This window comes from Homo sapiens, chromosome 19 (assembly GCF_000001405.40).
Source record: "Homo sapiens chromosome 19, GRCh38.p14 Primary Assembly".
Lineage (NCBI taxonomy): Eukaryota > Metazoa > Chordata > Mammalia > Primates > Hominidae > Homo > Homo sapiens.
Genome location: NC_000019.10, coordinates 30806523 through 30820655, shown reverse-complemented (window position 1 = coordinate 30820655; position 14133 = coordinate 30806523). Strand labels below are relative to the sequence as shown.

Below are 14133 nucleotides of genomic sequence, written 5' to 3'. Positions count from 1 at the left end.
CACTTACATTTTGCAAAGCCACGGCAAAGGAATATGCATCTTTGATTTCATTTGTTTTAGCTGTGCTTGTTCAGTGAGAGAGAAGACACATTTACATCCCTCTGATCTTGATGGTGTTGCATGGAGTTTTAAAACACAAGTAAATCACATCAAGAGACTAAATCATTTTGCAGGATTTTGAGAGTGAAGGCAAATAATGCAATGATAAATTAACAAGAATGGCTTGGAATAGGATGCTTCCCCTTGGAAAACTCAGCCTCAAGTCCCTGAAGAAGGAAAGAAGAGAGAGAGGGACAGAGAAAGGGAGGGAGGAAGGGAGGAGACAAGCAGTCCCCACCACTGCCCAGGTGTCTTTCTCTGCGTTGTCGCCTCTGCTGGTTGAATCTTCCTTCCATTCTGGTGAATATCTCTTTAATAGACTCATCTTACTTTATTAAAGTCAAAAATATGTTTTTAAATGTTAAGTGAGACACGCATTATTGCAAATTCAAAGCTGCAAAATGTGTTTGGCAGCCTCAAGGTAATAATTTCTTCCAATTTCAACACAAAGTTGGTGAATATTTCAATTGATTATGTTGGGCGATCCAGTAGTCATTTAATCATATTAACATATCTTGCATATTCAACATAATCTCACTTGCTTGCTTATCTTAGACCCCAGAACGCCTCCCAAGTCCAAGGGCACACATACACGTGCACCCTCTGCACACACTTGCAGGCGTTTCCTGTGGTAGGTGTCCCACCAAAGTTCTATTTCATGTCTGAGCTGTGCAAATGACTGTGAGAATTGACAGAATGAAATTTTGTAATAGTATAACAGAGCAAATCATTATGAAGAAGATAAGAGGTATTATTTACAACATTAATTAAGTCTAGGGGGTAAAAAAGACCATGTAAATCCACTTCACTATATTTTAAGTGCCTTCGCTTGGAAACCCACATGTTGTTCTTCTATTGACTTTGAAGTTCAGGTAGAGTGTAAAAGACTGAACCCATAAACGTAGGGTGCTTTAGGTCTGTTTGGTTTTTGTAACATGGTAACATGCCAAAGGTGCCAGGAATTGACAAGGATCATAGAAAACAGAGGGCTTAGAGCTGCAACTCCACCTGGTAAGAAAGGAGCTTCCCTCATGTGAATTGAGAAGGAGGTGAGACCATCTCCCTGGGACCTGAGAAGAGACAGAGGTCACCCCTGAGGATTGTGTGTGGGAAAAAATGTGCTGTCCACTCTGTAGGGTCTCCGGCACACCACCTCACTGGTCACCAGCAACCCATCCGACCTTCTACCCAAGAAGTTGAACTTTCTGTTGAAGTTCAACAGCAGCCTGGCCAGGGCCCACCGTGTCCACCGGGAAATGCTAGAGTCTCTAACAACATCATGCTAACAGGATGGCAAAGGATTCTCCGAGATCAACGGAAAGGTTCTATGTTCCTGGGCTCTGATACCGTTCATACATCTCGTTCAGTGTTAGATACTGAATTAGGAGCCATTTGTTGACATGAAATTGCAGTGCCCAGGGTCCCTGGTACCTGCAGTCAGACCAATGCTGGGGGGCGGGGTGGGTCTTAGGGGCAGAATGGAGCTTGAGAAACATGGCAAGGACTCTTCTAGAAGAAATGGAGGCAACTGCAGGTGAGAGCAGGTGTGGGGAGATAGGAAGAGCAAGACAAGGATAGGGAGGCAACCAAATTTTGTTTGAAATAATAATACATCTAGCATGACCCTAGGCTTGTCTGATTTTACTCAAGTAATAATTTTTAATGGAGAAGCGGCTAGAAGCTTTGCCAAATTGCCTCAGAGAGGTGGGGCCTTTTAGGAAAAGCACAGCTGGCTCTTGGAAGCCCAGTGTTGGCTCCCTAAAAAGCCTATTACCCTGGACTCTAGAAATTCACAAAATGATAGAACTCAAAAAGGAGCAGGGCTGAAGCTTTTCTTCCTTGATCTTCCTTCGAAGTTGAGCAGGGCATGGGTGAGAGAAAAATTTTGAACACAGCCATCTTCTTGAGAAGCCTCAAAGATTCCAGACCTACTCACAACTTACATTTTATTACCCAGCCAAGTTTGTATTAAGCCAAACCATAATTACATTAAAGCAGATCCTCTGAGGAGTGGTGTTATCCAATCATTGGATAGACTAAATTCAGATCTTTTCATTTCTCCAGAACTAATATCATGTCATTGCTTAAAATACACACACAATTTTCTCATTCAGATGTGGTCCACATTCTGATTTTGAATATTCTGGATCCCTGATAGGGCCTCTTGCCAAATTATCATATGCACAAGAAGCCCGCTTGGTGAACACAGGCTGCAGCCAGGGCCAGGAAGAATTTGCACTGTCTTATTTTACACTCAGAAGGAAGGAAGTTGAGAGGTCCAAGGGCTAGAAGTTCCAGGCAGAAAGAAGGTGATGGAGAGAAGGGATTGCAGGAGAACATGTCCTGCCATGCCTGGTGATTTGTTGGGTATCTCAGTGTTTGTTCTGTGACAGGTTGGACTTTGGTACAAGGTCAGCTCCTGAATCTTGATTATGTTTTTTTCCCCTTGAGCCAAGAGACATTGATCTGCACATCTAGTTTACCTTGTTTTCTTAGCCATTTGTGACACAGTACAACAGTTCCCATCGAAAAAAGTGTCATGTAAATAAATTACAACTTAGGACGTATACATTAAATAATTTTATAAATGAACTTTAAAAATGAAGGAATAAAAAATGCCAGGCCTGGCTTGGATAGCGATAGTGATTATTCTGATCATGTTGTCATGTGTAATGGAGCACAGGCCCGTCATTAATCAAAAGAACCAATCAGATAACTAATTTAGGCAATATTCCTTACCACAGGACATGTCGGTCAGTAAAAATGCATTAAAATAGCAAAAGATCAATAGCAGCCAGCAGGGACCATGTTTACAAACCCGTCTTAAACTTTAGGGTATTAAATTCTCAGTCATATTCGGTATCTGTTTGGTAAAGATAAAGGAAAACTTCAGAGAAATGAAAGGTTTGGGTTTGCTTTTTTTTTTAGTTAATAGTGTGCTCATAATGTATACTGTAATAAATGTACAGAATGTTGCGTTCTTTGGTGATGAATGGCAAAAGTGTCCCCAGCTTCTTTCAGAAGCATTATCAAGGCTCAAAAAAAGGACCATGGAACGAGCGAGGATTGACAAATTGGCCCGAAGATGGCTGCGGGAGGCAGGCAGGCCCCAGGTGTTTAAAGACGATTTATGTTTTGAGCAGCTGGAGCCCAGCACAGTGGTCAGATCTAGCAAGTGGCACGGAGCACTATTTCCACGGCACCTCTGCTGCCCTGGATGTGGAGAGACCGTTACCTCCCTGGAAGGTGGGCTCAGACTTCCTGCAGCGTATCCCCTGGCCAGGAGCCTCTGCTTGGTCGCTTTTGATTACGAAAACTTCTACTCATATTTCCAGCTATACAAAGTGCATCTCATCAAAGTCCAAAATAGCCACATTCTTTTTCTTTTCTACAGAAGTAAATTTACTTTAAAAAAAAATTCGTGTTGCTGACTCTACGGAGCTAATGCAGCTGCTGAAGAAACACTTGTATGAGGTGGAGGGAGAGGCGGTGACCACACAACGGGACAGGAGCTGGAGGAGCCACCACTCCTCGACCGGTTGACCAGAGGCACCTCCAAGTGCATTTCACTACATCCAGCCCAAAGCCTCGGTCACTTTGGTTTATGAGCCAAAAGGAGGCAAGCCTGGGAACGGGGAGCATTGCTGAAGGCTTTGTTCTTCTGTGACAGTCACTGGCCACAAGTGACAAGGACTGAGTGGGCCTGGGTGCCCATGGTCTTCTAAGGGCTCTTCACACATTTTCCTCCTAGGAAACAACTCTGCAAAAAAGGTGCACTTTGCTCCTGATTTTACTCAAGCGTTATTTATACCATGCCTACTATGTGCTCACAGACATCATTACTGTCATTCCAATGTGAAACCCAGAAATAGAGTCTGAGAATGTGTGACTTCAGCAGTGCCACACATGTGCCAACTGGAGGAAAGAAGAAATGGAGGGAGGTAGGAAGAAAAGGAAGGGAGGGAGGAAAGGAAGGGAGAAAGGAATAAAAAGGAGGGATGGAGGGAGGGAAGGAAGGAAAGAGGGAAGAAAGGGAGAGAGGAAGGGAAAGAAGGAAGGAAGGAGAGAGGGAATGAACAAAAGAGGGAGAGAAAGAAGGAGGGAGAGAGGAAAGCAAGGGACTAGGGAGGGAGGGAAGAAAGGAGTGAGGGAGGGAAGGAAGGAGGGAGGAAAAGGAAGAGAAAGAGAGGGAAGGAAGGAATAAGGGAGGGAGGAAGGAGAGAGAGAAGAGGGAAGAGAGGGAGGGGGAAGGAAAGAGGGAGGGAAGGAGGGAAGGAAGGAGGGAGGAAGGGAAGAAAGAAGGAAGGAGGGAGGGAGGAAAAGAAGGAGGAAGGGCAGAAGGGAGGGAAGAAAAAGAGAAAGGGAAGAAAGGAGAGAGGGAGGGAAGGAAGGAGAGAGGAAGAGAGGGAAGGAAGGAGGGAGGGAAGAAAGGAAGGAGGGAAGAAAGGAAGGAAGGAGAGAGGGAAGGAAGAAGAGAGGGAGGGAGAGAAGGAAAGAGGGAAGGAAAAGAGAGAGGGAAGGAAAGAGGGAGGAAAGGGAGGGGAAAGTGAGAGAGGGAAGGAAGAAAGGAGGGAAAGAAGGAAGGAGAGAAAGAGGGAAGGAAGTAGAGAGGAAAGAGGAGAAAAGGAGGGAGGAAAGGAAGGAGGCAGGGAGTGGGAGGGAAAGAAGGAGGGAGGGAAGGAAGAGAGGGAGGGAGAGAAGGAAGGAGGGAGGAAGGGAAAGAAGGAAGGAAAAAAAGGGGGAATCTCCCTAAGCCCATTTCCTCCGCAGCTCTAGCTCCCATTTCCCAGCTCATGTTCACAGCGACCTCTCTAAGTAGCACCCAAGAGGGCTGCCTTGGCCAAGTCTCCCCCTTTGTTCCCTCTGCACCCCTTTCTTGTCTGGCTCTCATGCTCACTGTCCACTGAATTAGTTTTTTTTTTCTTTTATTATACTTTAAGTTTTAGGGTACATGTGCACAACATGCAAGTTAGTTACATATGAATACATGTACCATGTTGGTGTGCTGCACCCATTAGCTTGTCATTTAACATTAGGTATATTTCCTAATGCTATCCCTCCCCCCTCCCCCCACCCCACAACAGGCCCCTGTGTGTGATGTTCCCCTTCCTGTGTCCATGTTTGGTAAAGATAAAGGAAATGTGTTCCCATGTGTTCCCATTGTTCAATTCCCACCTATGAGTGAGAACATGCAGTGTTTGGTTTTTTGTTCTTGCGATAGTTTGCTGAGAATGATGGTTTCCAGCTTCATCCATGTCCCTACACAGGACATGAACTCATCATTTTTTATGGCTGCATAGTATTCCATGGTGTATATGTGCCACATTTTCCTAATCCAGTCTTGACAAGTCAACATTGAGTTCCATGTTCCCCAATTCAATGGATACTTCTAGATCTTAAACTTCTTTAACCTTTCGTGGGTGTTCAAAATATTCGACCCCTTCCTCTTTCCAAAATACTCTCAACTCTTGGCTTCCAGAATTGTAAATGTTCCTCTTTTTCCTCCTCCTCCTCTCTAGTCACACTGTCTATCTCAGGGTCCTTTGGTGGCCCTCCATCTCCACATGAGCTCCACACGACCTCCGCACAAACTCTAGATGTTGGAATGCAAAGCGCAACATTAGAAACAATATGAATGTCCATCAGTAGGGGAAATGTTAGGTAAACTGTAGCACATTAATTCTATGGAGTAACAGGCCAGTGGTGGTGGATCACACCTGCAATCCTAGCACTTTGAGAGGCCAAGATGGGAGAATTGCTTGAGGTCGGGAGTTCGAGACCAGCCTGGTCAAAGTAGTAAGACCCTATCTCTATTAAATATATATTTCTATAAAATATCAAGTAGCACACCCTAAAACACCAAGTTAAATCTATATGTATTGACATGGGAAGATCTCTAAGATACATATTTAATGAAAATAAAAGACAGTACTCTATGGAAATATGCTATTTAAATATATCTAGATGTTCATATAAATGTATGTACTCCATTTTAGGTCCAAAAGGAGGTATATGCAATGCTGGTTATGGTGAATAAATATGAAAATAGGACAGGAATTTAGGGTTGGTCCAAAGGGAACTCCATTTTATTGATCAATATTTTGAAAATGAGCCATGTCTCCTATAATTAAAGACTAAAATGTTGGTAATTCTATTCGCTTTGGGAGGTCAAAGCAGGAGGATCACTTGAAGCCAGGACAGGAGTTTGAAACCAGCCTGGGCAATACAGTGAGACCCCATTTCTAAAAAATAAATAAATAAATAAAAGACTACAGTAATATTTAAATGAATAACTATTATCTTCAAGCTAACTCTGTACTCACATTCTATTCCCTCTTGTCATTCTCTCAGCCAGTTCAAGGACTTGAATCTCATCAATTTGAGAGTGCCTCTAGATCTCTAGATCTGATCTCTCTTATGAGCCCCAGGTGTCGCAGGTGACTACCTATTTGGATTCTCTGCTACAAATATCACTGTCAGCTTCACAAATCCTTCATGACCAACTAGAACACTTATTTCCACCCAGACCTATCTCTTGCCCAATTTTCCCCATCTCAACATTACCACGTACCCTGCTGGTCAAGCCAAAAGTTTACAGGACACACCTAATTCCTACCTCCCCGTCACACCCACACTTAGTCTATGCAAGGAAGTTCATGCCATTTATATCAAAGTTCCCCTTGAATCAATGCATCCTTCTCCTCCTCTCTAAATTCCTCACCATCCCACTAAGTCTGGCACCACCATCTTCCACCTGGGCTATGGCCATAGCCTCCTGATTGACTTCTCTGCTTCCCCTCTTGCCACTGCCTCCCAGTTATCTGTCCATCCACCAGAGTGTCCTTTAATGGCATAAGTCAGATCTGTTACCTCCCAGACAGAGGCAGCTCATGGCACCTGCCCCCTGCCAGCCTTCTAGGGAGAGTCACTACAGAGCAGAGCTAGTAACTGAAGGACCCGCAGGTGAGTCTGACGTGGTCAACTCTGTGCTCCATTCAGTCTCCTTTCTTGGGAGGAGGTTGAGGGTAACCTGCTGGATAATGGGAAAGAAGAAGAGAAAACATCGATGCAGCTTAGTGTCTTCAGAGGAAACACTGGAGAAAGAGTTTCCCTTTGCCTACAGAAATGTGAGTGTCTGAGAACGCTGTCAGTGTTGCTACTGAGATCAGACAACATCCACAATGTGCAGTTCAGGTCAGAGCTCTGCACTTCCAACCGGAGCTCTGCGTAGCCAGAGACTTGCCCAGAGCATTGAAGACAGACCCACCTGCCCAGGTCAAAACCATGGGGCTCACAGTGTTTGCTCCAAGGCTGCATATGGATCTTGGGAAATCCACAAGAAAAATAGAGAATCTCATTCTGGAAAATTTTGAAACTCTTGTTCCTTGGAGGCCTTCTTCTAAAATGAGACTCAAAACCAGACAAAAAGACAAAAAGATACATTGAGTTAGATTTTCAGAAAGCATTATCTAGAAAATTGACTTGGTTTTAAGAATTGCAATTCTCAGTTTTCTTGAAGAAAACTTGATAATTCCCGAAAAAAATGACTAGGATAAAGTTTTGGGAAAAAAATATGAAAATTATTTCAAGTTAACTGCAAATGAGAAATAAGTGTATTTTATCACAGGATTTTTGAAAATGCTCTTGGGAGGAGGATTTATTAGGCTTCATTCTGATGAGAAGTTAGGGTTCGAAAGTTTAAAATTCTAACGCTAAGATGGGCATGGGCATGACTGAATCACTGTGCCTTATGGTATTGACATTGGGGTATAAGCTACGTGAGCTCCAAATTAAATGAAAAAAAAAATTATACCAAGAAAAAAAAGCATTAACACCGTGAATGGCCAACATTTTGGGGAGTCTAAGTACTGTGATTTCTGATGTGCTAGACAGATTCCAGCCATCCTTCAGCCAGCAATGGTTAAGCCACATAAAATACGTGAAAAAGCCCACAGCACAGAATCTCTAAGATAGCCAGAAGTCATTTATTAATAAAGCTATTGACATGTTTTAGTATTTATAGTTATTTACCTTGCAAAGGAACTGAATCAGGGAGTACAGAGATCAAGTCACTCGGGAGAGGGAGTGTTTACCTAGGCTAATAGCTTCTCTTTGGAGGATGGCAAATAAGAGCAGGGGTGGAGACAGGCCACGGAAGCCCTTTTCAAGGACTCGGGGGGGGTGGGAGGGGGAACACTGGGAGGGGAGGGGTGTGCAAGCTCCCCCAGAGGCGATGCCACTCATTCTCAGCGTCACTCCCTGCTCCAGTCCTGCTTCACCTTGTGGGCCCCCACTGGAGGGGCCACGGTGCCCACAGCAGCTCTCTGTCTCCTGCACCAGACATCCCTGTGATTGACAGCTGGGCTCTAAGCCCTAATTTTGCTCTGTTTCTTCTCTCAACTGATCCTTGTTATCCCTCCTCAAAGACCATCATCAGCGTGGCAGACAGAGGAGAGAATGATTGACATCTCAGGCTATAAGAGAGACATAAGAGAAGGGGGACCCCAGGGGAGGAGTGGGCAGTAGGGAGCGCTAAGGGTCTTTGGCAACAGAATGGGTCATAGGATTGACACCTGTGACACCGTTCAAGGGTCAACTTTTGCAGCTTCTGGATCTGTCGAGTTAGGCTAAGTTATGCTGCAGTAACAAAAAACCGAAATAGAAGAATAAGATAAATATATTTCTTGCTCTTACTCCCCATTTATGCACATTAGCAGGGGGCTCTTTCATCGTACTCTCCAGGGACCCTGGCTGATGGGGGCTCCATCTCAAAGTCTGTTGCAGTGCATGTCATGGCACAAGAGGGGTGGATCTGCAAGGACCAGCATGAGTAATAGTGTTCTGGCCACAGCCTAGGGGTCAGACATAATCAAAGAGCCATGCCTAAATTCAAGAGGGAAGAAGAGAACAAGTCCACTCGAGGACCCAGCAGGAGAGCAGGAGGGATCACTGAGCAGGAGAACCGAGCTGTCTGGCACAGTTCCTATAGACAGAGCTCAGCGACAGGTTAGGTCAGTAAGAGAAGCCACTGTGAATCTCTGCCATCCTCTGGACTTGCTGTAAGGTGAAATACTTTGCCTGAAAATACAGGAAAACACTGGTGAACATTCTCTAGGACTCCGATAGTGGACTGGAGGGTGGTGAGATAATTCTGCCGCAGACTGGGCTTCTGTGAGAGATGGCAAAGGGCTGGACTGACATGTTAGTGTCATTTATCCAACAGGCTGTGAGTCACCTCAGCAAGAATAATTTGTGTGATAGGGTAGTAGCTAAACTTTACTGTTCAAATATAACAGGCTGTGGAAAAGAGCTGGGGCCCAAATGAAGCTGCCTTTGCTGTGCAACATTTGTTCGACCACCACTCTGTCCTGTTTTGTGATTTTTCTCTAGCAAGACTCAGCTGTGCTTATAAGAACAAGAGACATTAACACTGAGGTTCTTCTGGTATTAGGGCCTTTCCTGGGCCAAAGGCATTAAAGACAAACCACAAAAAAGATTATTAAATGACGAGCTCTAGAATCAAAGCTGGGGGAGGGAGTGAGAGAGCTCTGGAGAAGAATGACAGAAAGAAAGGCAGGACTCAGCGGGCTGGAAACCTCACTAAGGTCCAACCACAATGATGACCCAAGGAATGAAGCAAGCTCATTAGGAAATCAAGAGGCTGGAGTTAGAGATAAGGACGGTACATCTGTAAGGACTGGTAGTCAAGGGCTGGGTGGAAAAAATGGCCATTGTAGTGCAGGGTATTGAGGTGATAAAAGGATCATACATTGCGCTGAGCATTCATACAGAATCCCAAATTCACATGGAGTCCTGGGAAGAATCTGGGTAATGGAGATAACTGAACAAAGAGCTGAAGTCTACAATGACAGAGATGGCATGATCCAGAGGTAGAGATGGTGACCAGCAGGGAATGAGAGTGCTGTAGCTCAGTGGCAGGGCCATGGATGGAACAGGATTTTATTTTCATTTTATAAACAAAGGAGTAGGGTCCTAATTTTCCAGAAGTAGTGACGGCAATCTATGATGTCTCAATAACTGTTTCCCAAAACCATGATCTGTGGGTTGTGAGAAACACAGAGACAGCACCAAGAAAGGCTGCATGGGAAGTGGTGTGTTCCAAGAAGGTCCTGGCTTTGGTCCTCAGGGAGAAGGCCCCAGGAAGAGACACTGGTGTCTGTGGATGCTAGTGTGAAGAGCAGCTTGCTAATCACTCATTGCATCAATTGATTACCTGGAGGACAGGCTTGATAAAGAACATAGAGAAGCGCAGGGTACATAAAACTACAGGACAAAATCCAGGGAGGTGACTCAGACATGGATGGGAGAATTGTTTAACTGGATGTGAGTTTGTATTTCAGCTCCTGAGTGGTCTCTATATTGGGACAGTTGCAGGGCTGAAAGTAGAAGCAACCTGGGGTCAGCCTCTCTTTCTGCCACTCAGAAACATAAGACCTTTGTGGTTTTTCTGGCTTCCTTGGATTGAATTTCAACTTTCTCTTGAATCTCACTGAACTTCCTTGCCTTCCAGATTCTGAATTCTATGCCTGACTTTTCAGACATTTAAATCTGGTTGTAGGATCCACTGCTGGGGAGCTCGTGCAATCCTTTAGAGGTAGGAAAACATTCTGATCTTTTTCATTGCCAGAGTTCTTGTGCTGATTCCTTCTTATCGGAAGGGGCCGGCATTGCTTTCTCTTTTTGAAATCATTATGGTTTGGATGAGGCTTTTGGTGGCGCATACACACCATGGAATACTATGCAGTCATAAAAAGGAATGAAATCATATCGTTTTCAGCAACATGGTCACAGCTGGAGGCCATTATCCTAAGTGAATTAATGCAGGAACAGAAAACCTGCATGCAGTTATGAGAACTGCATGTTCTCACTCATAAGTGGGCGCTAAACATTGGGTACACAAGGACATAAAGATGAAAACAATAAACACTGGGAGTGATTGGAAGGGGGAGGGAGGGCGACAAGGGTTGACAACTACCTATTGGGCATCATGCTCACTACCTAGGTCGCAGTTTCAATCATACCCCAAGCCTCGGTATCATGTGTATAACCGTGTCAACAAGCTTACACTTGTACCCCTGAATCTAAAATAAGAGTTGAAATTCTTAAAAAAAAATCCCCCTGTCCAGTGTATGTTGGGTGCTTGGGACAGAGATGTGAAAAGATGTGAACTTCTTGGAACAAGAGGTCTTAGAACAACAAAGCAAGGAGGGAGAAAGAGACAGACTGAAAAGCAGGGCAATGTCTTCAAGTCTAGGGAGGGTCAGCCCATGGCCCAGTCTCTTGCAGTAGCTTCTGAAAAGATCCCAAAGCCCTATGTGGGGTAAAGAAGCAATGTAGCTATCAGACTCCATGTCCCCATATGAAAGCAGCCAACCAACATGTCAATGCAAACCAGGGAAGACCAGAGACAGGCCAGCCCTCCCCAGTGCCTCTGGCTTGCCAATGCCTAGGACAGGACACTGGAGCTCTTCTCACCCCGTGTGTGTGCCCTGCATAAAGAGTGGAGATCATTGCTATGGCCCCTGGTCCATGCCACGCCCTTCTTTACAAATCAAGAAACCAGAAAGTCCATTCCAGTGCCTTTTTATTGACTGAAATCATCAAGTCATGCAACCTCATCTCCATATGTGCAGCTTATTTATGCTAATAGGAACCAAGAAGCTGGCCATATAACCAGGTCCAGGAACCAATGCCATTAGAACTTTACTACAGGCTTATTGTGATTATTACTGAAAAGTTGGAAATCATGTAACTAGAGTATTTTTTAACTAATACCTTCTCAAGGAGCCTTGTGGGTGAACACAGCACACAACCTTCATAGCCATGCCCACTTCCTTCTCAGCTTGCTACATTCTACCTACCCTTCAAATCCCATTTCTGAAGACCTTCCTGACCATCCCAACTCTGCCTTTCTCTGAACGTTTGCAGATCATAATTTCCATCCCTTTCCTGGGATGAACCATCCCATGCAGCCACCCTTTGTCCTTTGTATTGTTACGAGAGTTTGCAAACAGGAATGTTTTATCTCATCAAGTAGCCTATGAGCTCCATCATGACCCTCTGCCAATGTGGTCTTCCAGCAACTGCACAGAGCCTTAACCCAAGTCAAGGCTTTCAACAAATTTTTGTTTTTCTTGTTAGATGTCCACAGACCGGCCGGGCGTCGTGACTCATGCCTGTAATCCCAGTGCCGAAGCGGGTGGATCACCTGAGGTCAGGAGGTCAAGACCAGCTTGACCAATGTGGTGAAACCCTGCCCCTACTAAAAACACAAAAATTAGCTGGGCGTGGGGGTGCATGCCTGTAGTCCCAGCTACTCGGGAGGCCGAAACAGGAGAATTGCTTGAACCCAGGAGGTGGAGGCTGCAGTGAGCTGAGATCATGCCACTGCACTCCAGCCTGGGCGACAAAGTGAGACTCTGTCTCAAAAAAAAAAAAAAAAAAGTCTATTGACCAAAATAATAAGCCAAAGTTAGGAAAAGTGAGGCCAATGATGGAGAAGGGGTTCATTCCTCTGCTAGGGACCACACTGAGGCACAAAGCAACCTCACACCACAGAAATGCACAGGCAACTGTCACTCTTAGTGTGCCATGTCCCCTGGTTAGCTATTGCTGAAAGAAGAAATGATTGACATGTTTGACAAAGTAGGTTAGAGCCTAGGTTTGGGGAAATATACATCACCTGCCAAGCAGTCTCAAAGAAACAGCTTTTTAAAACTATTACCCGAGTGAGGAGGTCATGAATTTTGCTACTTATACTGGAAACCAAAGCAGTGAATATCTCTATTTCTAACCAGACACAACTTGTGTATATTTTTTTTTCTCAAAGAATGTGGGAGCTTATTTTTATTGGAGGTAATTCAATTACTTTTTTTTCCCTATCCCATTTAAAAAAAATAGTTCATTCAAATCAAATCAGGACTTCTTTCCATTTCTGGCCTGTTGACAGCATCTTTTGTACCCAGCTAAGCAGTCTTTGTGGTATTTGGCACTGCTCCTGCTCCGAGGGCAAGATTTAGAACAGATGCCGACTTCCCCAGTCAGGATGTTCCCAAGTTCTCTGCTGATTAGTAGGCTGCATAATTGGATGTGACAGCCCAGAGATTCCTGGCCACAAACCATTCCTAATGGGGGAAGCCGCTCTGCTTTTCTTGGAAGATGCCCCTCTGCAGAAGTTCCACACTCTGGAAGTTCCTCTATTAACCCCATAATTCCTCCAGTGCACCTGGCTCCAGATGCAGGGGCTCAGGGAAGACCAACCCAAGGTTGGTAGCCCGAAGCTGCTAAGTATATGGACTTAGCATTCGTTGGTGCAGCCTGGTGAGATGTCTTTGGGAGGAACCACACTTGCCGAGCAGAGCTCAGCGACACAGATGAGAGTGATTGTGATAGCTCAGAACTGGGCAAGTTAGAAGAAATCTATGCTTCTTACAGGATGGAGGGTCTGCCCTGACCATATGCAAACCACACACATCTGGCAGGGCCAACGCAAAGACTGCTCTTGCTCAGTCTAGGAAATGTGCCTTGTTGCTTGGGCACAGAGGTCCTTGACCACAGCCACGGCCTCTCACCATGGGTCCTCCTGGCTGCAAAGGCAGTTGAAGTAGAGAATCAGCCGTGATCTGCTCACGTTCACCCACCATCCCAGAGAGGAGCCTTCCTACCAGTGGGAGGTCCATAGCTTTACCATGTCAGCAACCAAAAGCACTAACTGAACCATCAAGCTGTTACCTGAAAGGGGTCCTGATCCAAATCCCAAGAGAAGGCTCTTGGATCTCGTGCAAGAAAGAATTCAAGGCAAATCATAGAGTAAAGTGAAAGCAAGTTTATGAAGAAAGTAAAGGAATAAACATGGCTACTCCATAGGCAGAGCAGCAGCATGGGCCGCTCAGCTGCTTATATTTATTGTTCCTTCTTGATTATATGCTAAACAAGGGGTGGATTATTCATGAGTTTTCCAGGAAAGGGTGGGCAATTCCCAGAACTGAGGGTCCCTCCCCTTTTTGACTGTAT

General features: G+C 44.9%; 1 annotated feature.

Annotated features, from left to right (window-relative positions):
• Nucleotides 13111-13610: an enhancer, noted in NCBI's record as "H3K27ac hESC enhancer chr19:31297953-31298452 (GRCh37/hg19 assembly coordinates)". NCBI's record gives its function as "activates a minimal SCP1, AML or CMV promoter by ChIP-STARR-seq in naive H9 embryonic stem cells {active_cell/tissue: H9 hESC(naive)}" and the evidence as "EXISTENCE:reporter gene assay evidence [ECO:0000049][PMID:30033119]".